This window comes from Homo sapiens, chromosome 6, assembly GCF_000001405.40.
Source record: "Homo sapiens chromosome 6, GRCh38.p14 Primary Assembly".
NCBI classification, from domain to species: domain Eukaryota; kingdom Metazoa; phylum Chordata; class Mammalia; order Primates; family Hominidae; genus Homo; species Homo sapiens.
The window spans coordinates 33570657-33596829 of NC_000006.12; the positions used below are offsets into that span (position 1 = coordinate 33570657).

General features: G+C 55.5%; 1 protein-coding gene, 1 long non-coding RNA gene and 1 pseudogene across 7 annotated transcripts, besides 13 other annotated features; 1 reads left to right on the plus strand and 2 right to left on the minus strand.

The window, feature by feature from the left end:
* Nucleotides 761-1050: an enhancer, noted in NCBI's record as "active region_24361". NCBI's record gives its function as "activates an Ori minimal core promoter by ATAC-STARR-seq in GM12878 lymphoblastoid cells {active_cell/tissue: GM12878}" and the evidence as "EXISTENCE:reporter gene assay evidence [ECO:0000049][PMID:35858748]".
* Nucleotides 1896-9620, minus strand: BAK1 (BCL2 antagonist/killer 1). 5 transcript variants are annotated; one of them, XM_011514779.4, is made up of 7 exons: nt 9369-9620; nt 7142-7252; nt 6879-6979; nt 5137-5272; nt 4642-4785; nt 3378-3558; nt 1896-3251 (listed from the first exon to the last, which is right to left on the minus strand). In XM_011514779.4, the coding sequence occupies exons 3-7, from the start codon at nt 6946-6948 to the stop codon at nt 3147-3149; spliced, it is 636 nt and encodes a 211-aa protein (XP_011513081.1). In that variant the 5' UTR covers nt 6949-6979; nt 7142-7252; nt 9369-9620; the 3' UTR covers nt 1896-3146. The 5 variants fall into 5 exon arrangements, with proteins under 5 accessions (XP_011513081.1, NP_001179.1, XP_011513082.1 ...); NM_001188.4 differs by lacking the exon at nt 7142-7252; XM_011514780.2 differs by lacking the exons at nt 7142-7252; nt 9369-9620 and having other exon boundaries at nt 5137-5210; nt 6879-6973.
* Nucleotides 8176-8285: a silencer, noted in NCBI's record as "silent region_17046". NCBI's record gives its function as "represses an Ori minimal core promoter by ATAC-STARR-seq in GM12878 lymphoblastoid cells {active_cell/tissue: GM12878}" and the evidence as "EXISTENCE:reporter gene assay evidence [ECO:0000049][PMID:35858748]".
* Nucleotides 8176-8839: a biological region, named in NCBI's record as "H3K27ac-H3K4me1 hESC enhancer GRCh37_chr6:33546627-33547272".
* Nucleotides 8194-8839: an enhancer, noted in NCBI's record as "H3K27ac-H3K4me1 hESC enhancer chr6:33546627-33547272 (GRCh37/hg19 assembly coordinates)". NCBI's record gives its function as "activates a minimal SCP1, AML or CMV promoter by ChIP-STARR-seq in naive H9 embryonic stem cells {active_cell/tissue: H9 hESC(naive)}" and the evidence as "EXISTENCE:reporter gene assay evidence [ECO:0000049][PMID:30033119]".
* A 3422-nt stretch (nt 9621-13042) lies between the features above and the next one.
* GGNBP1 (gametogenetin binding protein 1 (pseudogene)) lies at nt 13043-18370 on the plus strand (annotated as a pseudogene). Its single transcript, NR_028361.1, has 6 exons — nt 13043-13414; nt 14072-14184; nt 14563-14711; nt 14934-15065; nt 16014-16132; nt 18257-18370. The product of NR_028361.1 is annotated as a gametogenetin binding protein 1 (pseudogene) (transcript).
* Nucleotides 14435-15429: an enhancer, noted in NCBI's record as "H3K4me1 hESC enhancer chr6:33552868-33553862 (GRCh37/hg19 assembly coordinates)". NCBI's record gives its function as "activates a minimal SCP1, AML or CMV promoter by ChIP-STARR-seq in primed H9 embryonic stem cells {active_cell/tissue: H9 hESC(primed)}" and the evidence as "EXISTENCE:reporter gene assay evidence [ECO:0000049][PMID:30033119]".
* Nucleotides 14435-15441: a biological region, named in NCBI's record as "H3K4me1 hESC enhancer GRCh37_chr6:33552868-33553862".
* Nucleotides 15352-15441: an enhancer, noted in NCBI's record as "active region_24362". NCBI's record gives its function as "activates an Ori minimal core promoter by ATAC-STARR-seq in GM12878 lymphoblastoid cells {active_cell/tissue: GM12878}" and the evidence as "EXISTENCE:reporter gene assay evidence [ECO:0000049][PMID:35858748]".
* LINC00336 (long intergenic non-protein coding RNA 336) lies at nt 15448-22682 on the minus strand. The gene is made up of 2 exons (NR_027908.2): nt 22341-22682; nt 15448-17214 (listed from the first exon to the last, which is right to left on the minus strand). It is a non-coding gene; the product is annotated as a long intergenic non-protein coding RNA 336 (long non-coding RNA).
* Nucleotides 19239-20438: an enhancer, noted in NCBI's record as "P300/CBP strongly-dependent group 1 enhancer chr6:33557672-33558871 (GRCh37/hg19 assembly coordinates)". NCBI's record gives its function as "activates an origin of replication core promoter dependent on BRD2, BRD4, P300/CBP, MED14 and CDK7 cofactors, with strong dependence on P300/CBP, by STARR-seq in HCT116 cells {active_cell/tissue: HCT116}" and the evidence as "EXISTENCE:reporter gene assay evidence [ECO:0000049][PMID:35650434]".
* Nucleotides 19369-19418: an enhancer, noted in NCBI's record as "active region_24363". NCBI's record gives its function as "activates an Ori minimal core promoter by ATAC-STARR-seq in GM12878 lymphoblastoid cells {active_cell/tissue: GM12878}" and the evidence as "EXISTENCE:reporter gene assay evidence [ECO:0000049][PMID:35858748]".
* Nucleotides 19539-19608: an enhancer, noted in NCBI's record as "active region_24364". NCBI's record gives its function as "activates an Ori minimal core promoter by ATAC-STARR-seq in GM12878 lymphoblastoid cells {active_cell/tissue: GM12878}" and the evidence as "EXISTENCE:reporter gene assay evidence [ECO:0000049][PMID:35858748]".
* Nucleotides 20099-20208: an enhancer, noted in NCBI's record as "active region_24365". NCBI's record gives its function as "activates an Ori minimal core promoter by ATAC-STARR-seq in GM12878 lymphoblastoid cells {active_cell/tissue: GM12878}" and the evidence as "EXISTENCE:reporter gene assay evidence [ECO:0000049][PMID:35858748]".
* Nucleotides 20592-21231: an enhancer, noted in NCBI's record as "H3K27ac-H3K4me1 hESC enhancer chr6:33559025-33559664 (GRCh37/hg19 assembly coordinates)". NCBI's record gives its function as "activates a minimal SCP1, AML or CMV promoter by ChIP-STARR-seq in primed H9 embryonic stem cells {active_cell/tissue: H9 hESC(primed)}" and the evidence as "EXISTENCE:reporter gene assay evidence [ECO:0000049][PMID:30033119]".
* Nucleotides 22512-23151: an enhancer, noted in NCBI's record as "H3K27ac-H3K4me1 hESC enhancer chr6:33560945-33561584 (GRCh37/hg19 assembly coordinates)". NCBI's record gives its function as "activates a minimal SCP1, AML or CMV promoter by ChIP-STARR-seq in naive H9 embryonic stem cells {active_cell/tissue: H9 hESC(naive)}" and the evidence as "EXISTENCE:reporter gene assay evidence [ECO:0000049][PMID:30033119]".

The window sequence follows — 26173 nt, forward strand, 5'->3', positions numbered from 1 at the left end:
TGAATACATGTAAATTTATTTTAATGCATTCAGGTGACTATGTCATAATAACTTGTTCAATATACTGAGTGATTTTAGGCTAAGGAAGGATTTTTTCAAATGAAAGGGTTTGGATGGACACTCGGTGACTCTCTAAAATATACTCTTCAGAGGAGGTAAAAATAAATACGTGAAGGTAAAACGGCAGGGTGGGGGTGGGGAGAATGTGAGGCTGTTGTGTGCAAGGAAGGGCGGGTATTCATACTGAAACTGCAGAACTAAGCAGGTGACAGCTGCACACCGCTCCTTTCCCTGGCCGGGCTGCCCCAGCTCAGTGACATCACAGACTGTGACGAACCCAGACGTATTTGGTGGAAACCAAGCCACAATCTCAGAAGCAGCGCACAGTTTGAGTAGAAATGAGTTTTTTTGGTTTCTCTTCCCTAATACCCACAGAGCCCCTACACTCCCGTTATCCTCGCAGCCCCTGGCTGACTGTGTCCGACCTAACTTCTCGCCCCCTGGTTTCAGAATATCCTGGCAGCGGAATAGAGGGCGTTGGGGGGCGGTGCAGGCCAAAACTTTTTGGGCTGCCCCACCCATGCCTTTCCGGTTAGCGTTGCAGCTCCTTAGACGAGTAGGCTAACCACAGCCCACCCGCCTTTCTTCCAGCGATGCAACGATCTGTTCGCCGCTCAATGCCGCATGCTGTTCAAAGCCCAGAGGCTGGAGTGGGTGCGCCCCAAAGGCCCCGCCCAAGGAAGGGCACGCTTGCGTGCTCGCGGCGGCGGCCATCTTGGACTCGGGCAGCCGCCCACTTCTAACCTCTATGGCATCGCTCCGGGAGGGAGGCGACCCCGCACTCTGGGCCTCTTAAACCTGTGCTCGCGAGCCCCACATTGCTCTCCGGCCTCCACGTAAAACTCGAGCCAGTTTCCTGGTGGCAAGTCCTCACTCCTTGGGTGACTCTGAGAAAGCACCCGTTTCCTTATCTGTAAATAGTAGTTTGAGTACCCCCACCCCCGTCTCCTACCTATTATTTGGGCAGATGATGAACTCTCAGCATAAAGCCTGGCACACAGTATGTGTTCTATAAATGTTGTCTGTGAGCTTTTCCTGTACACTGCGGGGTGCCTTGTAGCAACCACCTTCCAGCCACCACTGCCTGCAGCGCCGCCTTTTCCCTTTTCCAAGATCGCGTCTGTACTAGACTCTGAAGACCTTGTGGAGGGAAAAGGGGCTTGGCAAGCCCACCCCAGGAGGGTGAAGGTGAAACTCACGAGTTCTCTTGGACTTGCATGTGACCCTTTTGGAAGGGCGTCAGAAACACAGACCAGGGTGCCCAGGACTGGAAAGACTGTAGATTTTGGAACATTTAAACGCCCCCATGCTTGTTATTTTTATCACCCCTGGCTGGGTACCCATAGGGACTCCCAAGCAGCATAAAACTAGAATGAAAGCCCTGCGTGTGTGCTGACTGTGGAGACATCAGGAAGGGGGAGCTGGGACATTGTGTCCCAGGCAGAGCTAAATGTGGGGGAGAAGGGCCTTTTGGACCAGCGTGGGTGGTAGCCCCAGGGTGGGAGAAGAATTCAGCCCAGGTCAGAGGTAGCCTGTGGGGGTCCTCAGATATGTGCAGCTGCTCCACCAGCTCTGTAGCTAAAGGACCTCCCAGACTTCCTAAAGGGTGGAAACTGCATGAAACCCAACGAGATGAGAGAAGTTCATGGGGAGGGGCGAACGCCTTCCATCGGAGTGGGGGCTGCAGAACCATACTCAGGCCTCTATGGGATTCTAGAGGCCTAGTGTGAGGTTTTATTCAGTAATAAGCCAGATGTATGCCAGGCGTGCCCAGGTTCCCACAGTCTGGCCTGATGGAAAGAGGGGTAGCAGAGAATACAAAAACTAAGTCAGGGTGAGGGGATTGCACAGTTTATTTCCAAACACTCAGAGGATAGGGGGTGGCCTATGGGCTCCATCTGCCTCCCCTCCCTGCATTTGGCTGAATCAAGAACTTCTCCCCCCTGACCCCCAAGACCCTAGGCTGTGCCCAATAGAGAAGGCACTGTCACCCCCCACCCTGAGGAGACCTAGACAGGTGAGGAGCATGGAGGGTGGGGGAACAGAGTTCAAGTATTCACAGTTCCCCCATCTACACCCCTGGATTACACTGTGCCAGAGCCATGAGGGAGGATCCCACCTCTGGGATTCCTAGTGGTGTTGATAGTCCTTCTCCCACTTAGAACCCTCCAGATGAACTCCCTACTCCTTTTCCCTGATATAACAAACCAAGTCCTAAGCCCTGTAGTCTGGGCAAGGAGGAGCCTTAGCAGGCCACTCACCCAAGGCCCCCAGGGATGGGGGTGAGAGCCTTCACCTGTAGTGAATGGGTTGGGAGCAAGTGTCTATAAGGAGAGAGGAAGGGAGAGAACTGAGAGGACCTTGGGAGGCAGGCTTGGAGGCTTCTGACACGTGAGTTCAGACAGCTCTGGTCTGCGACTCCACCCCACCCCACACCCCAAGCCCAGAATCCCTGAGAGTCCAACTGCAAAGGCAGTATGGCCGGAGGGAGGAATGGGAGCAGGGGTAGAGTTGAGCAGGACCTTGGCCCCCCTCTCCTAGTAGGTCCTGCTCCTGGGACACATGCTTAGGGACGGCCAGGACCAGGCTCAGGTCCTAGTCCCATCTCTTAGGGTGCTGATCTTCCAGAATAGCTGAATCCTGGGGAACATAGACCCACCAATCCCCACACCCCAGACGTCCTGGCCTCAGGTAGAATGGTGGGAATGGGCTCTCACAAGGGTATTATAAAAAGCTAAAACCGTTAAACACTTTCTGGGGAGAAGTGGCTCCCAGTCTCTTGCCTCCCCAAGTTATCAGTCTCCCCAGCGCCTAGCAGACAGGGCTAAGGAGGTCCCAGAGAGCTGAGGGAGGAGACGGCCACAGCCCCTGGGCCCAGAGAGAGGGCCCACTAGCACCATGCAATGTTGAGGTGCCTCTGCAGCCTGACTGGCCCCCACGCAGGGGCCCTCCGAAGCTGGAGTGCACACTTGCTAAAGCTTCTGTACTCTTGAGGGGGGACCCCTGCAAGGGAACAGAGAAGGCAAAGACTTCGCTTAAGTCCAGGCAGGGGTCTGAACCGGGACCCCAAAGGGCACCCTTGGGAGTCATGATTTGAAGAATCTTCGTACCACAAACTGGCCCAACAGAACCACACCCAGAACCACCAGCACGTTCAGGATGGGACCATTGCCCAAGTTCAGGGCTGCCACCTGCCGGGAGAAACAAGGTGGTCACAGAGAGGCTAGCAGAAGATATAGGAACCCGAGGAAGGGGTGGGGCCTGGGAGAGGGGCAGCCCCAACAGCAGGGAGGACATTGCAGTCCTTGGATACTCACCCAGCCACCCCTCTGTGCAATCCACCGGGCAATGCAGTGATGCAGCATGAAGTCGACCACGAAGCGGGTCACCTGGCCTAGGAAGCCAGTCAGGCCATGCTGGTAGACGTGTAGGGCCAGACGGTAGCCGAAGCCCAGAAGAGCCACCACACGGCCCCAATTGATGCCACTCTCAAACAGGCTGTGGGCAGAGCATCCCATAGCATTGGTGGAGAGCCCCCAGGAAGCCCTTCAGCCTGCCTGGCCTCTCCCACCCCTCTCCCAGCTGGAAGCTAAATAGCTTAGCTGTGAATTAAGGCCGCAGAGGCTGCCCCAACCTGGCCTGTATTTGGGAACAACCTGGGTCTCTGCGAAAGGAGAAAGCTCAGGGGCAGATGAGCTGGATGCCACTGCTGGGGTGTACGCTCAGGTGCAACGGGGCACAGAGAGGGCAGAGGGCAGAGCAAGTGGATGGAGTCAGCGGGGAGATTACCTGTGGGTGTTGCTGCTGGCCTGGCAGCCCGAGGGACAGCAGAGAGAAAAGGACAGAAAAGATTAGGGTAGTTCCTGTCATCACAGTGGTATGAAGGCTGGCCTCTAAGTTCACGGACTGGATATTTCAGCTCTGAGCACTAATTCTAAAATCTATCACTTACTCCTACCTTCACCTCCAGTTTCAAATCTACTCCGACACTGACTTCCCTAACTCTGGTGGTAGCAATGGCTAACACTTTGTAAGGTGGACACTAATCTAAGCATATTTTCCCTATTTTACAAACCAGGAGACTAAGGGCTAGGAAGCTTCACGAAGGCAGTAAGTGGCAAAGCTTGGATTTGCACCCAAATATTCGGTGTCTTTAACCACTTGGATGCCAGATTATAGCAAGTAGGAGCCATTTCTAGGACCTGGCAGAGGTTAGCACCCTCACCATCTTCAGTGTGATATGTGGTTTCAAATTGGAACTATGAAGGACAGCTATGTCCCAGCTGGGCTGGGGAGCTGTGGGGGACGTCCCCACCTCAGGCCCCCTCTAGAGTCCTGATCTAACCAGTCAAGACCTTGGAGTCAGAGCTCAAAAGAGCTGTGAGCTAATGCCCAAAATACAAGTCTGGGACCCCGAAAGAGAAAAATAGGGGGCCGAGACCACATGTGAGTTCACAGCAGACATTGGACACTGACAGAAGGCTTCTCCCCATGCCAGGAGAGCATCATGCAGGCAGGGTATGGTATGGTTGTGACATGACAGAGGAGTGACTGGAGCTGGCAGGGAGGTGGCTGGGGTACCTGGTGGCAATCTTGGTGAAGTACTCATAGGCATTCTCTGCCGTGGGCTGCAGGTGCTGCAACATGGTCTGGAACTCTGAGTCATAGCGTCGGTTGATGTCGTCCCCGATGATGGCGAGCTGCCGTCCCACCTGCCCCATGGTGCTGTAGGAGCAGGAGGCATGCAGGTGAGCCAGTAACCAGGCAGTCGGGACCAGGCCCTGGCTCATGGCAGAGGGGTTCTGCCTGAGCTGTCCATGGCCCTGTGCATCCCTTCTTGGAGGTCCCTGACAGTGTTCTAAGACATGAGTGCTGGGCTCCAGGAGAAGGGGCAGGCATGGGCTAAAAAGGATACAAGGTCCTGGATGGGGGTGGGAGCCCAACATAAAAGAGGAGCAACCATGAGAGAAGGGCAAGACCCCCGAGGCCTCCCCAGCTCCCAGGACCTGCACAGAGACCCATGCGAGCTACTGCCTCCCTGAAGATGTCCTTGTGGGCCCAGCGGTTGTAGCTCACCTGCTAGGTTGCAGAGGTAAGGTGACCATCTCTGGGTCGGCAGGGGCAGCCACCCCTTCAGCCTCCTGTTCCTGCTGATGGCGGTAAAAAACGTAGCTGCGGAAAACCTCCTCTGTGTCCTGGGCTACCTGCTCCTCTGAGGATCAAAGCTGGGAGTCAGGGAGAGAGGGCCGAACCCTGGCAGCCCCATGCCTTATAGGGGATTCACTCTTCCTAAGGCCATAGCTGTCCTCACCCATGGAAAGAAATATCCCAACCAGGTGCGGTGGCTCACGCCTATAATCCCAGCACTTTGGGAGGCCGAGGTGGGCAGATCACCTGAGGTCGGGAGTTCAAGACCAGCCTGACCAACATGGAGAAACTCTGTCTCTACTAAAAATACAAAATTAGCCGGGTGTGGTGGCACATGCCTGTAATCCCACCTACTCAAGAAGAGGCTGAGGCAGGAGAATTACTTGACCCCGGGAGGCGGAGGTTGCGGTGAGCGGAGATCGTGCCACTGCACTCCAGCCTAGGCAACAAGAGCGAAACTCTGTCTCAAAAAAAAAAAAAAAATGGCCGGGTGTGGTGGCTCATGCCTGTAATCCCAGCACTTTGGGAGGCCAAGGCGGGCGGATCACGAGGTCAGGAGATTGAGACCATCCTGGCTAACATGGTGAAACCCCGTCTCTACTAAACAAAATACAAAAAATTAGCCAGGCGTGGTGGGAGGCGCCTGTAGTCCCAGCTACTCGGGAGGCTGAGGCAGGAGAATGGCGTGAACCCGGGAGTTGGAGCTTGCAGTGAGCCTAGATCACGCCACTGCACTCCAGCCTGGGCAATAGAGCGAGACTCCATCTCAAAAAACAAAACAAAACAAAACAACAACAACAAAAAAAACAAAAAAAAAAAAAAGAAAAGAAATATCCCTACTTCAGCACCTTAGCCGCCCCTAGAGCTTATGCTGTGTGGAGAGTTGTTCCGGCACTTGCATTGAGTCCTCACAGTAGCCCTGGGAGCAGGCAATCCCCAGCTGGCAGGGGGAAAATGGCACAGGGTGTCTGAGTAACGTGTGCAAGGTCATACAGCCAGAACAAGCCGGGGAACCGGGACAGTCCCGGGCATTTGGGGTCCTGAGTCTACATTAGTACATCTCAGCTCCGCAGCCCTTTGCGTGCAGGGAAATGTGGGAAACAAAATCTGAATTTGTAGCTGCGGCCCAGAAAAGTCACACAGGGAGATAGTGACAGACCTGGGACCTGATTCCCAAGTCCAGGGAACAGCCCGCCGTGAGGTGTGAGCTGGGGCTTCCCTGGCTATCCCCTGGGAAGAGGGAAGGAGGGCAGCCATCTTACTTCCTCCCCAAGTCACAATAATTGCGTTCCCTGTTGAGCAGACCTGACTGGGTGATTGGCCAGCTTACTTCCTTATTTCTCCCGCTGGAGGGATACAGCAGCCAGGCCCCACTCTAATTCCTGCCTCCCTCGCCCGTGACCCAGCCCTCTGCCCCGGTGGCACTGTGCCTACCTTACACTCACTTCCTGGCCTCTCCCAACCTCCAGGCCCTCCCCAGTCCAGACTCCTCCCCCTCCTGGGCTTAACCTTGACAGCAGCTCCAGCCTCTGAGCCCGTGGGTGGGGAAGAGTATTCCCCACCCACAGTGGGTGAACCGAGGCGAAGGAGCCTGCCTGAGTCCTGCTCCTTCCATCCTCACGACAGCACTCATGGTTATGGGATGGGTGAGGGGGCAGGAAGACCCTTACCAGAAGCAGAGGGCAGGGCAGGCTCTCCGCACTCCTGCCTGGGAGGACCTGGGCCTTGCCCCGAAGCCATTTTTCAGGTCTCAGTGGAGGACGGGATCAGCCTGCGGGGAAGGGCGAGAAAAAGCAGAGATGGGGGTGAGCACAGACCTGTGACTGGGGACCCCATACAGGTTGCCATGTCCACATAGGAGAGAGGATCCCCCATTCCCAGAAAGGCCCTTAGTCCTCTGGGACTTTGGCCAGGCCGGTCTCAAACTCCTGACCTCGTGAGTCTGCCTCGGCCATCCACAGTGCTGGGATTACAGGTGTGAGCCACCGTGCCTGGCCTCCTCTGGGACTTTTTATTCTTACTCCAGCATGGGTCCCAGTGAAGTCTGCTGGGAGGAAACAACTTACTGAACACTCCCTCTTTGAGGGAGACAGGGTAAGAAGGTGAGGCAGCCAAGGGCAGACTGAGGTATCTGCACCATCGAGGAGGGTGTGGCTGCAGCAGTGCCCGCTGGCTCTCAAGTTCATGCCACTCCTGGGGCAAGAGCCTGGGGGGTTTTTAGCTGTTCCTGGGGCCTCCTGCAGCCCACCCAGCACATGCTTATTGCAAGCGAGCCACTGCCCAGCCAATGGCCCATGAAGGCTGTCCTCAGAGGCCCTACTTCCCTCTGGCTGGCCAGAACACACCTGTTTTTTAACTCTGGGCTGTTAGCCGCAAACATTTCCTGAGAGCCTAAGATATACTCTCCCACTTAGGAGCACTCTGTGGGTGGTGAACACTGGAAACTCACATGAACCCAGCAGGGTGAGCGCCATCATACCCACTTTACAGGCAGGAAAAGTGAGGCACAAAGAGTTGAGTGCCCGAGGTCACATCGTTAGTCACGGAAAGTCAGGTTGTTTGTCTGAATCTCCGTGAGTCCATGTACTCAACACGCATGCAAGATTTCTTTTCCAGTTTGTGGACCTCAGAGTGTGTTCTTTCTCAGGGCAACTTTCCCTATTTACCTCCTGTCTGTGCCTTCCCCACTGCTGCCTTGCAGTGACCGGAGGGAGCCCTCAGGATCAGGGCCTTCTTTGAAGCCCCATAACCTGCCTCGTACTCCCACCACACACCTGGTCTTCTGTCCCCGGCCCCAATTTTCCTCTTTGCCTGGTCCTGACCGCAGCCCCAACCTGCTGTGACCCCTCATCAGGGCGAGTGTTTCCTGGATGTCAGCTGTTTCACTTTCAGTTTGCACCCCTCCCAGAGCCCCATTTCCCCAGGCAGCCTCCAGCCCTCAGAAGGAGAGCGCCCTCCTCCTATCCCAGAGGGAGGGGGTGTGCAGCCCCACCCTGGGCCAAGCACACAGCCCCACCCCCACCGCCCAGGGCCTGGGGACCTTCGCCCACCCTCCTTCCGCTAGGCCTGGGAGTGTTTTCGAAAGTGCCCCAAGAGCTCTCAAGAAGGGGTGGAGGAGGGCTGGACCACCTGTGCCCTCACCCAGCTCCCCACTCCTCCTCGATCTGCCGGACAGGGACAGGGTGAAGGCAGACCTTCCTCTCCTCCACCTCTAGGGGCAAGGCCTTGTTAAAACAGAACTTTGCAGCCGGGCATAGTGGCCCACGAGGTCAGAAGTTCAAGACCAGCTTGGCCAACATAATGAAACCCCATCTCTACTAAAAATACAAAAATTAGCTGGGCATGGTGGCGTGCGCCTGTAGTCCCAGCTACTCGGGAGGCTGAGGCAGGAGAATCGCTTGAACCTTGGAGGCGGAGGTTGCGGTCAGCCGAGATTGCGCCACTGCACTCCAGCCTGGGCAACAGAGCGAGACTCCATTTCAAAAAACAAAAAAAAAGAGTTTTGCTTGCCTCCCACCCCCCGTAGCTCCTTACATAAGATGGCCTTCCTTCTTCCCCAGTCTCCAGGACCCGGCACCCCCAGGACAGTAGGGCTGGAGGATGCTGACTGCACCTCCAACTCCCTCTACCAACACCCCAGGCTTCCGAGGGGAGCAGGTAGAGCCTCAGAACACCCACCAAGGCCAGCAACCTATGCTGACTCAGGCCTAGCTCTGCCTCCCCCATCCAAGTGGCCTAAATTCCCGGTGAGGGGAGCCACCCCCGACTTCCTGGGCTTGCTGGGCCCCGATGAATGTTGCCCAGGGATACATGCCTGGCCAGGCCCTGGACCCAGTCTAGGGATGTTGGGCAGCAGCAAGCGCTGAGAAAGTTCTCTCTCTGCCCTTGACCTTGGCTCTGACCTCCACTCCCATCTCCCAGACTGTTAAAGGACCCAGTTCTTACAGTTCTCCGGCATCCAGGGCTGGGCCAAGAGGGGAAGCTGTGAGGGGCAGCCAGAGGCAGGCATGGCAGGATCAGGTCCCCAGCCGGGGCGGCAGACCTGCCCAGGGAAGCCTTGAGCTTCCCCTTCCCCACCCGGCTCCCGGCAGGCTCCCTGCCCCACCCTGGGGCTGGGGCTGCTGAGATCTGGGAGGATGGACAAGACCCTTCCAGCTTACCTGCCGGGATCCTGGCCCAACCCGGGTGGCTCAGCAGGGTGGAGATGGAGGTCCCGAGGGGCTGGCGGCTGCTGCTCCCAGGGGCTGAGTGGGAGCCCAGTTTCCAGGAATGGGCGTCAGTGCATTCCCGGCATCTGGATGTAGCCTTTACTTGTCCCTGTGCAGCCCGAGGGACCCGCGAGACTCCAGTGATCATAGAGGTGCCAGCGGCACCCGGCTCCAATCAGCTCCCTCTAGAGGAAGTTGCTCTGTGGCCACCGGATGCAGACGCACAGGCCGACAGCCTGTAGGGTGATCTGGGTGGGCCAGGCCCAGGAGCATGTCCCGCCCACTTTCCCCACCCCACCTCCCAGGCAGGCAGGGCGGCTGTCAGTGGCCCACTGCTTTTCCCATCCCTGATTCTCAATCCTTGTCTTTGATCTTCTCCCCCACCTCTACATCAATCAATACCAATAAAAAACCCAGGGTGAGAAGTTTCTTAAGCACTGCTGCATGCCTGGCACTTTAGCAACTATTTGTCTCATTGGATCTTCTCAGCAACTCTTGTAAGTGAGTGCTGTTGACAATACCCATTCAGATGAACAGAGGCTCAGCTGGGTTAATCATCAGTTCTGGGCCAGGCGCGGTGGCTCACGCCTATAATCCCAGCACCTTGGGAGGCTGAGGCAGGCAGATCACGAGGTCAAGAGATCGAGACCATTCTGGCTAACATGGTGAAACCCCGTCTCTACTAAAAATACAAAAAATTAGCTGGGTGTGGTGGCGGGCGCCTGTAATCCCAGCTAGTTGGAAGGCTGAGGCAGGAGAATCCCTTGAACCTGGGAGGTGGAGGTTGCAGTAAACCAGGATTGCGCCATTGCACTCCAGCCCTGGTGACAGTGCAAGACTCCATCTCAAAAAAAATAAATAGTAATAATCAGTTCTGTAGTCGCATTGGGGAATACTAATACTAGATTGAGATTCAACCTGCAATTTAGACCTGTGCACCATGCACCTTGGTGGTCTCTGGATGTTTGAAATCCTGAAGGTGATAGTCAAGTAAACGGAGATTAAAACTCAATAGAGGCTGGGCCCAGTGGCTCACGCCTGTAATCCCAACACTTTGGAAGGCTGAGGTGGGAGGATTGCTTGAGCCCAGGAGTTCAAGACCAGCCTGGGCAACAAAGTGAGACCATGTCTCTACAAAAAAAAATTAGAAATTAGCTGGGTATGGTAGTGCACACCTGTGCATTTGGTGGTCCCAGCTACCTAGGAGGCTGAGGCAGGAGGATCACCTGAGCACAGGAAGTCGAGGCCACAGTGAGCCATGTTTGCACCACTGCATTCCGCCCTGGGCAACAGAGCAAGACCTTGTCTCAACAACAACAAAAAAGGCAGCCAGCTGCGGTGTGTCACGCCTAGAATCCCATCCCAGCCATTTGGGAGGCCAAGGCAAGAGGATCGCTTGAGGCCAGGTGCAGGAGTTCCAGGCCAGCCTGGGCAACAGCAATACCCTGCTTATACCAAAAAAAAAAAAAAAAAAAAAAAAAATTAGCAAGGCATGGTGTTGTATGCCTGTGGTCTTAGCTACTGGGGAGGCTGAGGTGGGAGGATTGCTTGAGCCCAGGAGGTCGAGGCTGCAGTAAGCTATGATTGCACCAGGGCAACAGAGGGAGAGTCTGTCTCTAGAAAAAAAAAAAAAAAAAAAAAAAAGGCCGGGCACGGTGGCTCACGCCTGTAATCCCATCCCAGCACTTTGGGAGCCCGAGGCAGGCAGATCACCTGAGGTCAGGAGTTCAAGACCAGCTTGCCTAACATGGCGAAACCCCGTCTCTTTTAAAAATACACAAAAGGGAGGCCAAGGCAGGTGGATCACCTGAGGTCAGGAGATTGAGACCATCCTGGCTAACATGGTGAAACCCCGTCTCTACTAAAAATACAAAAAAATTAGCCGGGCATGGTGGCAGGCGCCTGTAGTCCCAGCTACATGGGAGGCTGAGGCAGGAGAATGGCGTGAACTCAGGAGGCAGAGCTTGCAGTGAGCCGAGATCACGCCACTGCACTCCAGCCTGGGTGACAGAATGAGACTCCGTCTCAAAAAAAAAAAAAAAAAATTGGTCGGGCACGGTGGCTCACGCCTGTAATCCCAGCACTTTGGGAGGCCGAGGCTGGCTGATCACCTGAGGTTGGAAGTTCGAGACCAGCCTGACCAACGTGGAGAAACTCCACCCCTATTAAAAATACAAAATTAGCCAGGCGTGGTGGCGCATGCCTGTAATCCCAGCTACTCTGGAGGCTGAGGCAGGAGAATTGCTTGAACCCGGGAGGCAGAGTTGTGGTAAGCTGCGATTGCGCCATTGCACTCCAGCCTGGTCAACAAGAGCGAAACTCCATCTCAAAAAATAATAATAATAATAAATAAATAAAATAAAGCCGGTTGTGGTGGCGTGCGCCTATAATCCCAGCTACTTGGGAGGTTGAGGCAGGAGAATTGCTGAACCCAGGAGGCGGAGGTTGCAGTGAGCTGAGATTGTACCACTGCACTCCAGCCTGGGTGACAAGAGTGAAACCCCATCTCAAAAAAATAAAATAAAAATAGGGCCGGGCACGGTGGCTCATGCCTGTAATCCCAGCACTTTGGGAAGCCGAGGTAGGTGGATCACAAGGTCAAGAGGTCGAGACCATCCTGGCCAACATGGTGAAACCCTGTCTCTACTAAAAATACAAAAATTAGCCGGGCGTGATGGCGGGTACCTGTAGTCCCAGCTACTCAGGAGGCTGAGGCAGGAGAATCGCTTGAAGCCAGGAGGCGGAGGTTGCAGTGAGCCAAGATTGTGCCACTGCACTCCTGCCTGGCGACAGAGCTAGACTCCATCTCAAGAAATTAAAAATAAAAATAAAAACAAGGCCGGGCCCGGTGGCTCTCGCCTGTAATCCCAGCACTTTGGGAGGCCGAGGCGGGTGGATCACGAGGTCAGGAGATCGAGACCATCCTGGCTAACACGGTGAAACCCCATCTCTACTAAAAATACAAAAAATTAGCTGGGCGCCGTAGCAAGCGCCTATAGTTCCAGCTGCTTGGGAGGCTGAGGCAGGAGAATGGCGTGAACCCAGGAGGCAGAGCTTGCAGTGAGCCGAGATAGCCCACTGCACTCCAGCCTGGGCGACAGAGCGAGACTCTGTCTCAAAAAAATAAATAAATAAAAATAAAAACAAATAAATAAATAGACTTAGTGGGGTCTGTGCTACCACCTGGACACAAAACCTGGATGCTAAGAGGGAAGACAGATACTGTCTGGCTGCTGGGAGTGTTCTTGAGGACAGAACAAACCCAGGAAGGACAGAGGTGTGTGCAGTCCTCAATAGCCCCTGCCCTCAGGGTTCAGTTCCCTCCCTGCCTCTCCCTGTTTGCTCCCTGCCAAGCTTCCTGGGGCTCTCACATCTTTTCCTCCAAGTCTCCACCCCCTTTCCCCCAAAATCCCTGCCTGCCCCCCACACCTCCTTCCCTGCTTCATCAAACCCCTGCCCCCTCTACCTCCAACTAATCTCCCCCAACCTCCCATCCTCCCCAGTCTTTGCTTCCCAGAATTCTGGGAAGTTTCCAACTGGAGGTTTTAATTTGAAAACTCTTCCTGTTCTTAAGCAGTTGGTCCTGGGGTGGCTGTTACAGGATCTGAATTGGGGACCTTCTCAGGATGGAGGCCCCAGCTCCGAAGCCCTGATCATGAATTTCAGGCTGCTCCTCCATGTTCCGCCACCAGGGTGCCATTTCCCTGATGATGAGCCAAGAGGGACATGTGAGGAGGAGGGGGCCGGGACCATCTGCCTTGCCGCCCCACCCCTTCTCTGTGGCCATACCCAGGGGCTTCTCAAAACGGTCACAGCAGCCTCCCTTAAAGCTGGGCATGGGGCGTATGGTGACCTACACCTGCAAGAGCAAGAAGGCCTGGCGGAGAGGTGAAGTCAGTTCTGCCCATAGCAAGCCAGGAGGTGTTGGGCAACCTGCCTGAGAAGGAGGGGAAGGAGCCAGCAGGGGACGCCTCTGGGAAAACAGGGGCCTCAGACAGGTGAGGGGCTGGAATTGGGGGGTACCCAGGTTGGCAAGGCCTGGGACAGAGGTACTGAGAAGAGGCCTGGACATGAGATGGGGGAAGGGCATGGGCCTGAGATGGGGGACCCATGCTGGGGAGGGTCTGGGGAGGGAGGCCTTGGGTGGGTAAAGGTCTGGAACAGGGCACCTGGTGGGGAAGGACAGGGAGATGTGGGTGGGGCCAACGGACAGAAGCATCTGGTGGGGAGGAGGCTGGAGATGGGGATTTGGTTTGGGAAGGAGGGAGAGATGGGGTCCTCCCACAAGTGAGGGGTTGTGGATGGGGGATACCAGATATGAAAGAGGACAGGCTAGGGAGTAGAAAGGGAATATGCCAGGGCCAGAGGGACGGGGGGTCCTGTTGCTCCCAGCTCCTTCTACAGGCCTGGCAGCCATCCCCTGTGAGGACAGGGACCCACCTCTCTCTGTTCCCCACCCCCTCATCACCCTACTTTTGAGAGCGATAATCCCCCTCTATGATGAGGACCCCAGATGCAGAGCAGGGGGCTGATGGGAGAGGAAGGCTGCAGAGGGCCAGCAGACCTGTAGGTGAGCCTTGGGGGAGGTTTAGGGGGTCTCTGTCACATCTCTGAGCCCCACCTGCCTCCCTCACCTGACTGTGCTTTGGGATTAGCAGCCACTTTATCCAGATCCTGCAGTTGAAGGAAGAATACCTGCAGAGAGCCACAGGGCCCCGTGAGGTCAGCCCTGAGCCCTCCACCAGGGAGAAGGAGTGTCTGCTTGAAGGTGAGTGTGGTGGCCATAGGCATAGGGGAAGCGCCAGAAACGGACCCTCTTCCTGTAGAACTTCTTAGGGGTGTGGGGCCTGGCAGGACACGGGACACATTTTGAGGGACTGCTGGAGTCAGACTGCCTGGGTTCAAATGCCAGTTCTAACATGCTGAGCCGTGCGATGGGTGGCAGCTTGCTCAACCTCTCTGCGTCTGTTTCCTCGTCTTTAAAGTGGGAATATAATAGTAGCTATCCTTGAAGGAAGTTGCAAGGATGAACTGAGATACTCTTTGTAAAATGCCCAGAACGGTGTGTGGCACACAGTAGGCATTTGCTAAAGAAAACAAGACAACCCCACCCACAACTCAGCCCCCTGTGTGCTTGCCCTCCAAGGCCTGGACCACCCCACTTGCTGCCAGCCTGTCAGTGACCACCACCCATTCACAGGAGACTGCGTGTTGGCCTCTTCCAGGGTGGAGGCAACTCCTTGGAACCACTTCCACAGTTTGGACAAGGAGCTTCAAAACTCGGCCATGGCCAAGGTCTGTGGGTGATGGGGTCATGAGGCATGGGTTGGGGCCTTTCCCACATCAGGCTGGGCCCCAGAATATGTGGCCTGGGCCTGGAAGGAGCAGTCCCCTTTCTTAGCCTTTAGGGACATGTTGCCTCCTGCTTCCTGTCTTGCCTAGGGGTGGGGTGGGGCTGCAGGCCTGGGGTCCTGGGCCTCCTCACCTGCTCAGAGACTGGCTGGACTCCTCTCCAAGGTTTGCCCAGCGAGGAGAAAAGTGAGGAAGAGAAAATGAAGGAAGAGGACAGCTCATTCAAGCTCTGTGTCCCAGGCATTGTTGCCCTCCAGTCGCCACCGAACAAGGCTTTCAGATCCACAGACACAGTGGGTAAGGGCTTCCGCCCTTCCCCTCCCACGTGCCCCCAGGTCCAGGAAGCCTCGCTTTGGCCGGCGGCTCAGGGGTGCAATACCAGCAGGTACCACCAGATGGTACCAGAGGACCTAAGAGGACCACCCGAGACCAGGGAGCAGCGTGTGGCTGGGCTGGAGGCCACACTAGGTGTAACGGGTCTTCCTCTGGGTTTGGGAAGTGGTGACTGCGGGGGTGGTACTACTCAAGCACCACCCTTTCCCCCAGCCCAGAGGCTTCTAACGCCTTCAGTGGCTGCCTCCATCCCTGGTTTTCCCATCATGCACTGCTGTGACAGAGCCCCAGAGGGTCCTCTCTGCCAGTAGAGCCCCGGGCAGCCCAGACATGGACAGCAGTTGGGTTAGTGGTGATAGCATACATAATATGATGAAAATCGTGGTTCACATTTACATAGCCATTAATGGGGCAGACCCTCTTTAAGCACTTTTCATAAAATCCTGCATTTTACGACTCTGAGGTAGGTCCTATTGCCATCTCCAGTTCACAGTGAGAACTTGCCCGATGTCACACAGCTAGTGATGGGCAGAGCTGGGACTTGAGTGCAGGCAGTTTGGGTTCCAGATCCAGGCTCTTGAGTTGGTTGGTGGTGGGGGCAAATACCTGCCCTTTGCATGCTGTCCCCAGTGGGTGAAGACGCAGGCTCTCATGCTGCCGCTGCCAGAGAAGGCCCTCAAAGAGTGAGCTTCCTGGGGAAGGCAGGGCGAAGGAGGGGTGGTACCTGGCTGGCTCTACGTCCTGGAAGAAGAGAGGGCTGTGGCTGAGGGTGAGCAGGAACCACACAGAGCTGGGATGAGGCTCAGGGAGCGGTTGCACCTCCGGGTCCTTGGGTTCCCAGTGGGCTGCTCCATCCTACTCCTGCCTGTTCCCTGCCATCTCCCTGTCCCTTGCCATCTCTCTGGCTCTCAGGTTTCCTGGAGTCGGAGTTGAAGAAGCTTCTGGGAATGCAGCAAGAGTCCCGCCTCTGGAAGCTAGGCAGCCAAGAGGGCCGAGAGCTGCTTACCCGGCCAGAGATCACCGTGGTGGAGGTGAGCATTGTGGATGGCCAGGTACGCTTGGCCCGTGCCAGACCACCAACCCCTTCCTGGAGAAGGTGGGGCTGGAGGCTTACCATCCCCTCCAGGCCCTGGGCCCTGGTTCCAGCCCCCAGGCCCTGGCTCCAGCCCCCACTGCCTGGGTAGGGTAGGCATAATGCCTTCTTGGTGGTAGTGTTTCTAAATTCAGGACCCTGGCCCCCTGAGTGAGTGCACACTGCATGCACATAAACACACACACACACACACACACACACACACTTCTCCATCAGTCTCTCTGTTTCTCACTTGACTCAGAGTCACAATGTCCATTATTTTTGTCTCAACTTTGCTATTCCTTTGCTATGTGGCCTTGGGCAAGTCCCTTCCTCTTTCTGAGCCTCAGTTTCCTCATCTGTAACATAAGTGAATTTGTCTAGACAGGCTGTAAGCTTTCCTGTGCATCTGTAATTCACATGATGCTGCTGTTTTTCTAATCTCTCTCCCATTCTCGTCCACTCCAAACACACATAGGCTCAGGGGAGCGACCCCGCTGGGTCAGACCGAGTACCATCCTGCTGCTCCCCTTCCTTGACATCAGCCTTTAAAGGTTAGGCCTGTCTCAGCTTCTTTGAGTGCACATTGATGGATCTGTTGAAAATGTGTTGATGACCTTTTTGGTTAATTTCCGTCCATTCATCATCTCATGCTTTTATCCAGTGGACATTTGCCCTGACAGTCTGTGTAGCTTACAAAAAGAAAGGGCATGGGGTTTGGAGGCCAGAGGTTTTAGTCTGGCATTAGCTTGCTCTGTGAGGTTGAGTAGAGGCCTCAGTTTCTTTACCCGTGAAAGGGGACTGTTGCAAGGACCTCCTGAGATGACGAGTGTGCAGCTGTAAGCTGCAAAGGCACTCCCTTGCGGGGGCTTAGCACAGTGTGATTCACTTTGGAGCAGTGCCTATCAGAAAGACTTGCCACCTGGGGCTGGGTGCAGTGGCTCACGCCTATAATCCTAGCACTTTCGGAGGCTGAGGTGGGCGGATTGCTTGAGCTCAGGAGTTTGAGAAAAGCCTGGGCAACATGGTGAAACCTTGTCTCTACAAAAAATACAAAAATTAACCAGGCATGGTGGCGTGCACGTGTGGTCCCAGCTACTTGGGAGACTGAGGTGGGAGGATCACTTGAGCCCCGGCAGTTGAGGCTGCAGTGAGCTATGAGAGTGTCACTGCACTCCAGCCTGGGCAATAGAGCGAGACCCTGTCTCAAACAAAAAAAGAAACATGCCTGCTGGGCACTGAGGGGCATCCTTCTAATTGCCCCAAGCCCGCATGCATGTCCATGTCACAGGAGGCCTCTGTGTTACCTCATCCACAGCCACGTAGGTTGTCAGCACCTGGCAGAGCCCCTCACTTTTGTCTTTTCACATCGAAGGGTTTGAATCTTGGTATCTGCCCTTTCTGGTCCCTCCTCCTTCTTCTCATCCCCTCCCCAGCCAGCCTGCCCTGTCCCAGGAGTCACAGTCCTGGGGTTGCCTGAGTAGCGCTGAGAGGCCTGGGTCATTTCTGGGTGGTGGCAAGTAAGGGCTCAGCCCAGTCCTCACTTTGGGGACAGAGCTGCCTTAAGAATACCTTTCCCCAGTGGGTGTTTTGTTTTTTTCTGTTAGGTTTATTATCTTATTACTATTACCTTTATTATTATTTAGGTTCATTACCTTCTTTTTTTTTCTCATTATTATACTTTAAGTTCTAGGGTACATGTGCACAACATTTCAAAGGTCCTGTCCTCATCACCATTCCCATCTCCCCTTACTGCCCTCAGGGACACTGTGCTGAGGGGGAAGGAGGCTGCCCCCGAGCCTTTGGAGAATGCTGGAGACCTAGGGAGGAGCACGGAGGAAGCAGCAGCACCACCTTGGGCTTGAGGGGAGGGCACAGACCCCCCTTGGGGTCGTGTCCAGAAGTGAGGGAGGGGAGGGACTGGCTGCGGTGCTGACTCCTGGGGCTTCCAAGGAACCCCCCAAGTTGGAAGGAGAAAGGATTCTCCATTTTGTGGCAGGGAGGTGGCTCAGGGTTGGTGGAGCTGTGCCAGCCGAGGGGAGGTGGCGGAAAGGTGTCCTCGGGTGCTTGTCTCTGGGGGCAGGGAGAAGGTTATGAGGTGCAGAGAAGACTGAGGCATCTTCCTTCACCCATTTCTGTCGCCCAGTGCCTGCTTCTTGAGGAGAAAGGTGAGATGGGAAACTGGCCTCCAGAGTGAAGCCGGTGCTGGCCCTGAGTCTGCCCTGCCCAGATCCCCGGAGCTGGTACATGGAGTATGTCTTTTCTTAGGGTACATCTAAGGATCCCCTGTGGCCAGCGGGTCTTGAGACACAGTGTCCATGTGTCTGTAGGATGGGCCTGCCCCAAATTCTATCCCACCCAGCCAACTCAGGCCTGTGATGTTATTAATAAAAATGTGCTTTGACTTTGGCCTCATTGTTGGCTGTCTTTGGACCCCAACCCCCAATCTTCAACCCTGGAGCAAGCCCAGTCTATCTGAGGTCTTGATCTAGTCCCCAGTCTGTGCCCATGGGGCTGCTAGGGCTGCCCTGCTGCAGAGTGGAGGGGTTGCAGCAGGGCATCTGTGCAGAGAGGGCAGGAGGTCTAGTTGGCCTGACCTAGGGCTGGGGAAGGACCCAAGGCCCAGAGTGCCAGGGGACCCTGCTGCCCACAAGCCGTGCCCCTGTTAGGAGGGGTGTCCCTGACTTCCCTCCCTCCCTAAGTTCCCAGGCTGTGCTGCAGCCTCCTAGGGAGGATCCGGGAATTCTCCAGCAGGAAGTTCCTGCCCAGCCAGCCCAAGGACAAAGCCAGGAAAGAGGCCCTGGGATGGGGGATCTGCCTCGGGAGGGCGGGCCTGGGTAAGCCAGGGGTCCCTGGTGTCCAGTGTTGCCTAATCTCAAAAGTAAGGGTGGGCTTGGGATGGAGTGCATAATGATGGGCCTTACTGGCCAGGGAAGGAGACCGACACACCTGGCTTCCCAGAGATGAGATGGGCAGCAGGGCCAGGCCTAGTTTGGACACCAGGAGGTGCTGTTCACCAGAAGGTCCTGCTGGCTTCCCTGTGGGGTCCCCCGTTCCTTCCTTTCTTTCTGCCTGGGTCCAGGCTCTGAGACCCCTCAGCAGATGTATGAGAAAAAGAGCTCACTGTCCCCAGCTCTTTTCAACATGACTGCTATCCATGGATGCTTGTCTGATGGTCCCCATGGGTCCCCACTGTGTCTAGCCCGAGGCCTGTTGCAGAGCTGAAGTTCAGTATCAGAACATGATGGCTATTCTTAGTAATCGCGGTGATTGATAACAACAGCTGTTGGTTGGATGGCCGGCCCTGTGGCCACAGACTTGGCGTGGGGAGACAGAAACTGTAGCAGCCTGGTCCCCTGCCCTGGCCCAGGCCAGCCCAGTGAAGGTGGGAGTCCCTGCCTCTGTCCCCCAGCCTGCAGGGTGTGGGTGGAGCCTGGAGAGGGCTGAAGGCTTTCTCCTGGACTTCCTGGCCAGAGCCCATGGTGTCCTTGACTCAGACCCCGAGCTGGGGCCGGGTGGAAGGGCCCATCTGGACTGCCCCCCTGAGTCAGCCAGGAGGCAGCCTTGTGACCAGATGACTCACCTGTGCCCTAATTGCCCTGTTAATCATTTCCTCCCAGAGTGTTCTCTGTTGGGAAGGGTGGGGCCTTGCAGGGCTTCCCTGGGAGCACCTGGATGAGGGGGGAGGGGCAGAGGGGGGCAGAAACCTTGGTTCGGGGTGTGGGACCCTGGGCTGGTCACCCTTCCTCTCTGTTCCTCATTTTCCCTGTCTCTCCAGTGAGGCCCATGGCACCTTCTTGTCCACTCCTGGGATTCCTCTGAACTGCGGGGGTCTGTGAGGCTGGGAAGTGTGGTGTGCTGGCGCTGTCCCTGGAGCAGGAGGGGGTCTGTGTGCTGGAGCAGGCCTGAGGGCCTCTTCCCAGACACACAGTGTCCTGGGCTGGTTTCTGCGGAAGGGCCTGGCTTGACATTTCTGGGTGGTGAAGGCAGAGGTGACCCAAGGACCTGCTGTGGGGGAAGGCCCCGTGGGTGAGGGCAGAGGGCTGGGCTCGGGTCAAGGCTAGAATGGTGAGAGCCCAAGCGTTCCTGAAAGGCCTCAGAGAACACTGCAGGCGCAGGCCTGCAGGGCGGGGCTGAGGACTGGGGATCCTGAAACGCCTCAGAGAACACTACAAGGGCAGGCCTGTGGGGTGGGCCCGAGGACTGGGGAGCATTGCAGCATTGCCTTCTCCCCCTTGCATAGAGACATCTGGGGACAGCTTCCACGGCCCCTCCTGCACCAGCACACTCACTCGGCCGAAGGGCCAGCGGGACTGAAGCCCAGCCCATCACACTCACTCACCAGGCCCTGGGAGGGGTAGCATCCCCCCGGAGGGTGCCTTTCCTAACTTGTTCAAAAGGGACAATGGGCTGGCAGTGGCCCTGATTGGGTCCATGAGGTTTGGAGCATTGCGAAGGGACTTGCCAAATCTCTGTCACTCTCCTGGTCTCTCCCTGTTGGTATATAAATGTGTCCCTGTGTGTGTGTTTCTGTCTCTGCCCTGTCTCCCCATGTCTCCCAGTGTCTCTGTCTCTCTCACTGTATCTCAGGTGGGATGAAGGCAAAAGCAAAGAGGCACCCAGGTCCATTCTGAGAGAGTTTAGGGACTCAGTGGTGGCTGAAAGGAAGGCAGTGGGTTGGGTCATTTAGGAGCTGGGGGTCAGGGTGGGTGGTCCCAGGAAAATGTGGGCAGGGCCAAAGGTGGGCCTATCCACCTCAGGAGACTGTATGATCCCCCTCCTGTGGCCCCCTGGCCAAGACCTCCCAGGGAGATGGTGCCTCAGGCCCTGTCTGGGGTCACTGGGGGTCAGCCTGGCCTACACTAGGGTGAAGGGAGGGCAAAACCGGAGATTTTGCTCCCCTTCTCAACTGGGAGATGAGCTGGAAAGCAGAGAGGCAGAGGGGAGAGACTCAGCTGGGTTGAAACCTGGCTCCCACTGCAGCAAGCTCATATGACGGCAGACAAGTCTCATATCTCTCTGAATCTCAGTCTCCACGTCTGTGCAATGGGTGAATGAAGAGCTGCTTGGCTCGTAGAAGATTCTCAAAGAATCCGTGGGGCCGGGCACAGTGGCTCACGCCTGCAATCCCAGCACTTTGGGGGCCATGGCTGGTGGATCACCTGAGGTCAGGAGTTCGAGACCCGCCTGGTCAAAATGATGAAACCCTATCTCTACTAAAAATACAAATAAATTAACTGGGCATGGTGGTGGGCACCTGTAATCCCAGCTACTCGGGAGGCTGAGGCAGGAGAATCACTTGAACCTGGGAGGTGGAGGTTGCAGTGAGCCGAGATCACGCCATTGCACTCCAACGTGGGCGACAAGAGTGAAACTCCGTCTAAAAAATAAGAATCCATGGAACCATTTTTATGAAGCATCGACTACATCCTAGTCCTGTTCTAGGCACTGGGGAATAGAGCAATGAGCAAGACATACACAACCTCCACTTTGGGGGGCTTACATTATTGCTAGTGAGATAAACAACAGATACGCCAGGGTGAGAGGTGCTATGAAGAAAGCTGAGACTGGATAGTTGGGGGGATATCACAGAGGGATGAGGAGGCCTTGCTGAGGAGGTCGTGTGCCGGAAGCCAGGGAGGGAGCCATCTGGGGGAAGGGCAGCCATGGGCACAGCAAGTGCGTCGCCCTGAGGCAGGAGCAGGACTGGTGGGTTTGAGGAAAGGGATCCGTGGAGCTGGAAAGGCATACGTGGGAGGGGGTGGGACAGGAGGTGAGGTCAGAAAGGAAATGTGGAGATGCGCTTTGCTGATCATGGGTTTGGGGGTTTGTTTCTTTCTCTTTTTATCTCTGTCGCTCGGGCTGGAGTGCAGTGACGCGATGACAGCTCACTGCAACCTCCACTCCTGGGCTCAGGCGATCCTCCCGCCTCAGCGAGGACTGCAGGCGCGCGCCACCGCACCAGGCTTGGGTTTCTCGGATCCAGTGTGGAGTGATGCGATGTGGTTTGCATATTTAAAGCTCCCTGGGCTGCCGAGGAGGAAAGGCTGTAGGGGGCGGGGCCTGAAACAGGGAGGCAGGTTCCGAGGCTGCCGCAGGCGTGGGGCGGGGTCGTCTGGCTGTGACTTACTGCAGAGAGTATGAGGGGGAACCAAGAGGGTACTTACCACTAAGGGGAGCGCCTTGGCCAGCACCTCTGCTCAGTGGGGAGCCAGGCCCCGCCCCAGGTGGTACCTTCCCCCTTGCCCCATATGAGGGGCTTGTGGGGGACTTTGTCTCCATCATCCGCAGGGTGGAGCGGGGCGGCCTGGGACCTGGAGTCCGGGAAGAGTCGAAGGCCTGTGGGCGGCCGAGGTCACGCGTGGGCGCCTGCGGGGGGAGGGCGGAACCAAGAGGTTGGCACCGCAGTGCCTGTGCGCACCGAAGTGCAGCAAACACGTCTCGGCCACGACTGCCAGGCCACCCCAGGCTCCAGCGGAGCGTGCGTACCTGCGCAGGCGCTCGCATCTGAGAACTGCCGAACCGTGCCACATTTCCGTTCCCTCTGGCCTCGCCCTCAGGGGTCGACCGGCGGCGGAGCGCGGGGCCTCCTGTGCTGAAGGCAGCTCCCTGGCCTCCAGAAACTCACAGTCAGTGGTGGGAGGGCCGTAACAGACCCGCGCAGTTAAGAACCAGATGATGATGTTGCTGTAGTATAGTTTGGAGAGTGCAGAGAAGGAAGCAAGCAATGCCAGCAGGGAGGAATCCAGAAGGCTTCCAGGAGAAGGCACCATTTATGATTTGGGCTTGTATCAGGAGGAGGAAGTTGACAGGTGAAATAAGGGGAGGGCATGCCTGCCAGGCGAACAGTCTGTGATTGGGAAGTGTCCAGTCTGCACCATGACCCCACTGTCCACCTTCCTGACCAAGTAGGAACCATTTGGACTCCTCTATTGTCCTGGGCCTCCTTGTTTAGTCCACCCTTTTATTTTATTTTATTTTATTTTATATTATCTTATTTTATTTTATTTATTTCATTTCATTTCATTTCATTTTATGAGATGGAGTCCCGCTCTGTCGCCCAGGCTGGAGTGCAGTGGCGCGATCTCTGCTCACTGCAACCTCTGCCTCTGGGTTCAAGCGATTCGCCTGCCTCAGCCTCCTGAGTAGCTGGGATTACAGGCACCTGCCACCGCGCCTGTCTACTTTATTTATTATTATTATTATTTTTTGAGACAGAGTCTCACTCTGTTGCCAGGCTGGAGCAGGCTGGAATGCAGTGGAGCTTTTTCGGCTCACTGCAACCTCTGCCTCTCGGGTTCAAGCAATTCTCCTGCCTCAGACTCCTGAGTAGCTGGGACTACAGGCACGCATCGTGACACCCGGCTAATTTTTTCTATTTTTTTTAGTAGAGAAGGGGTTTCACCATGTTGGCCAGGATGGTCTCGATCTCTTGACCTCGTGATCTGCCCATCTTGTCCTCCCAAAGTGCTGGGATTACAGGTGGAAGCCACCGCACCCTGCCTTTTTTTTTTTTTTTTTTTTTTGACGGAGTCTTGCTCTGTCGCCCAGGCTGGAGTGCAGTGGCGCGATCTCGGCTCACTGCAAGCTCCGCCTCCCAGGTTCACGCCATTCTCCTGCCTCAGCCTCCCAAGTAGCTGGGACTACAGGTGCCCGCCACCATGCCCGGCTAATTTTTTGTATTTTCAGTAGAGACAGGGTTTCACCGTGTTAGTGTGCCTGGCTAATTTTTGTATTTTTAGTAGAGATGGAGTTTCACCATGTTGGCCAGGCTGGTCTCGAACTCCTGACCTCAGGTGATCTGCCCTCCTTGGCCTCCCACAGTGTTGGGATTAAGGGCATGAGCCACCACACCCAGCCCACCCATTTATGTTTAGCTTATTTTCTCTCTACCATCTATCCCGCTCAACACCCCCACTCTCACTGCCTTTGCTGGAGCCCTAAATCACCGCCCTAGCCTTCCATCCTCTCACTGCATCTGCCTCACCACTGCCAGGGTGCCGTTGGCTCTCTTCCTCTCTCCCCCTCTATAACCCCTACCCATCCTGTACAGCTCAGCCATGGCACCTACTCCAGCCCTGGTTTCCTCACAGCTCCCTGGTTTTAGGGCTAACAGGATTCACTGCATGTGTTTACTTGCTCTCCCCAGGGGAGACAAACACAGCATGAAGGCAGGCCCTGGGGGTGCGGGCGGGGGTTTTGGGGGAGCTTTGTTTCCATTGTCTGCAGTGTCCAGCATGGTGTCAGATTCAATATATGGCACTAGACTGAATGAGCAGAGGGTGGCTTGCAGAAGGACGCTTGTGAATAGGGGTGGGTGAGAGCGGGGGAAGCAGGCAGGGGCTGGATTACATAGGGCCTTAAAAGCCAACTTAAGCAGCTTGGCGTTCATCCTCAGGGCAATGGGAGCGAGGGCCGGAGACCTGGGAGAGTGGCCTGGTAAGATGTACAGCGAGGGGGCAGGGGCTAATGTGGAGGCCTTCACAATGGTCACAGTGAGAGAGGAGTGGACCTGAGCTGGGACAGTGGCAGGTGGAGTGGACAGGAAAACAGAGGAGAAGTGGTTCTCAACTGGGGGCAATTTTACCCCCGCCCCTCGAAACATTTAGCATTGCCTGGAGACATCTTGGTGTCGCAACTGGGGGAGTGCTACTGGCATCAAATGGGTAGAGGCCAGAGATGCTGCTAAATATCCTACAATGCACGGGACAGCCCCCCATGACAAGGAATGAGCTGGCCTAAAGTGTCAACAGTGCTGAGGGTGAGAAACCCTGCCCTAGAGGAAAGCCCAGAGAATCGCCTGCTGGATGGAGGGAAATGGAGCGCATCTCAGCCTGAACTCTTGGAGCCACGCTGAGGCCTGACTCTTCTGTATTTTAGCCATGTAATAACCCTGAGCGAGTCACTCAACCTCTGTGCACATCGGTTTCCTCATCTTTTTTTTTTGTTTGTTTTTTGTTTGGTTGGGTTTTTTTTTTGTTTTTTTGAGACGGAGTTTTGCTCTTGTTGCCCAGGCTGGAGTGCAATGGTGTGATCTTGGCTCACCGCAACCTCTGCCTCCCAGGTTCAAGCGATTCTCCTGCCTCAGCCTCTCAAGTAGCTGGGATTACAGGCATGCACCGCCACACCCAGCTAGTTTTGTATTTTTAGTAGAGATGGGGTTTCTCCATTTGGTCAGGCTGGTCTCCAACTCCTGACCTCAGGTGATCTGCCTGCCTCGGCTTCCCAAAGTGCTGGGATTATAGGTGTGAGCCACTGCGCCCAGCCGGTTTCCTGACCTTTTTATTTATTTATTTATTTATCTATTTTTTTTTTTGAGACAGAGTTTTGCTATTGTTGTCCAGGCTGGAGTGCAATGGTGCAATCTCAGCTCACTGCAACCTCTGCCTCCTGAGTTCAAGCGATTCTCCTGCCTCAGCCTCCCAAGTAGCTGGGACTACAGGCATGCGCCACCATGCCTGGCTAATTTTGTATTTTTTTTTTTAGCAGAGACGGGGTTTCTTCATGTTGGTCAGGCTAGTCTCGAACTTCCAACCTCAGGTGGTCTGCCCGCCTCAGCCTTCCAAAGTGTTGGGATTACAGGCGTGAGCCACCGCACCAGGCTTTCCTCATCTTTAATAAAGAATTGGGAGGATTAAGTGGTTGAATGCATGTTCAGTGCCTAGGAAGGAGACTGACACATAGTAAGCACTATGTCCCTGAACTACTGTGATTTTAAAGCATCAGGCCTCTGTCCAGACTCCTGTGCTGACTCCACATCACCCCAGTCCTTCAAGGGCTGACAAGGCCCCTGGCATCTGGCTCTTCCTACGTCTATGACCCCATCTCCTATTGCTCTCCTTCTTGTTCTACGTGCTCTGTCCACCCTGGGTTCTTTTTTTTTTTTTTTTTTTTTGAGATGGAGTCTCACTTGCTCTGTTGCCCAGGCTGGAGTGCAGTGACACAATCTTGGCTCCTGGGTTCCGCCTCCGCCTCCCGAGTTCAAGCAATTCTCCTGCCC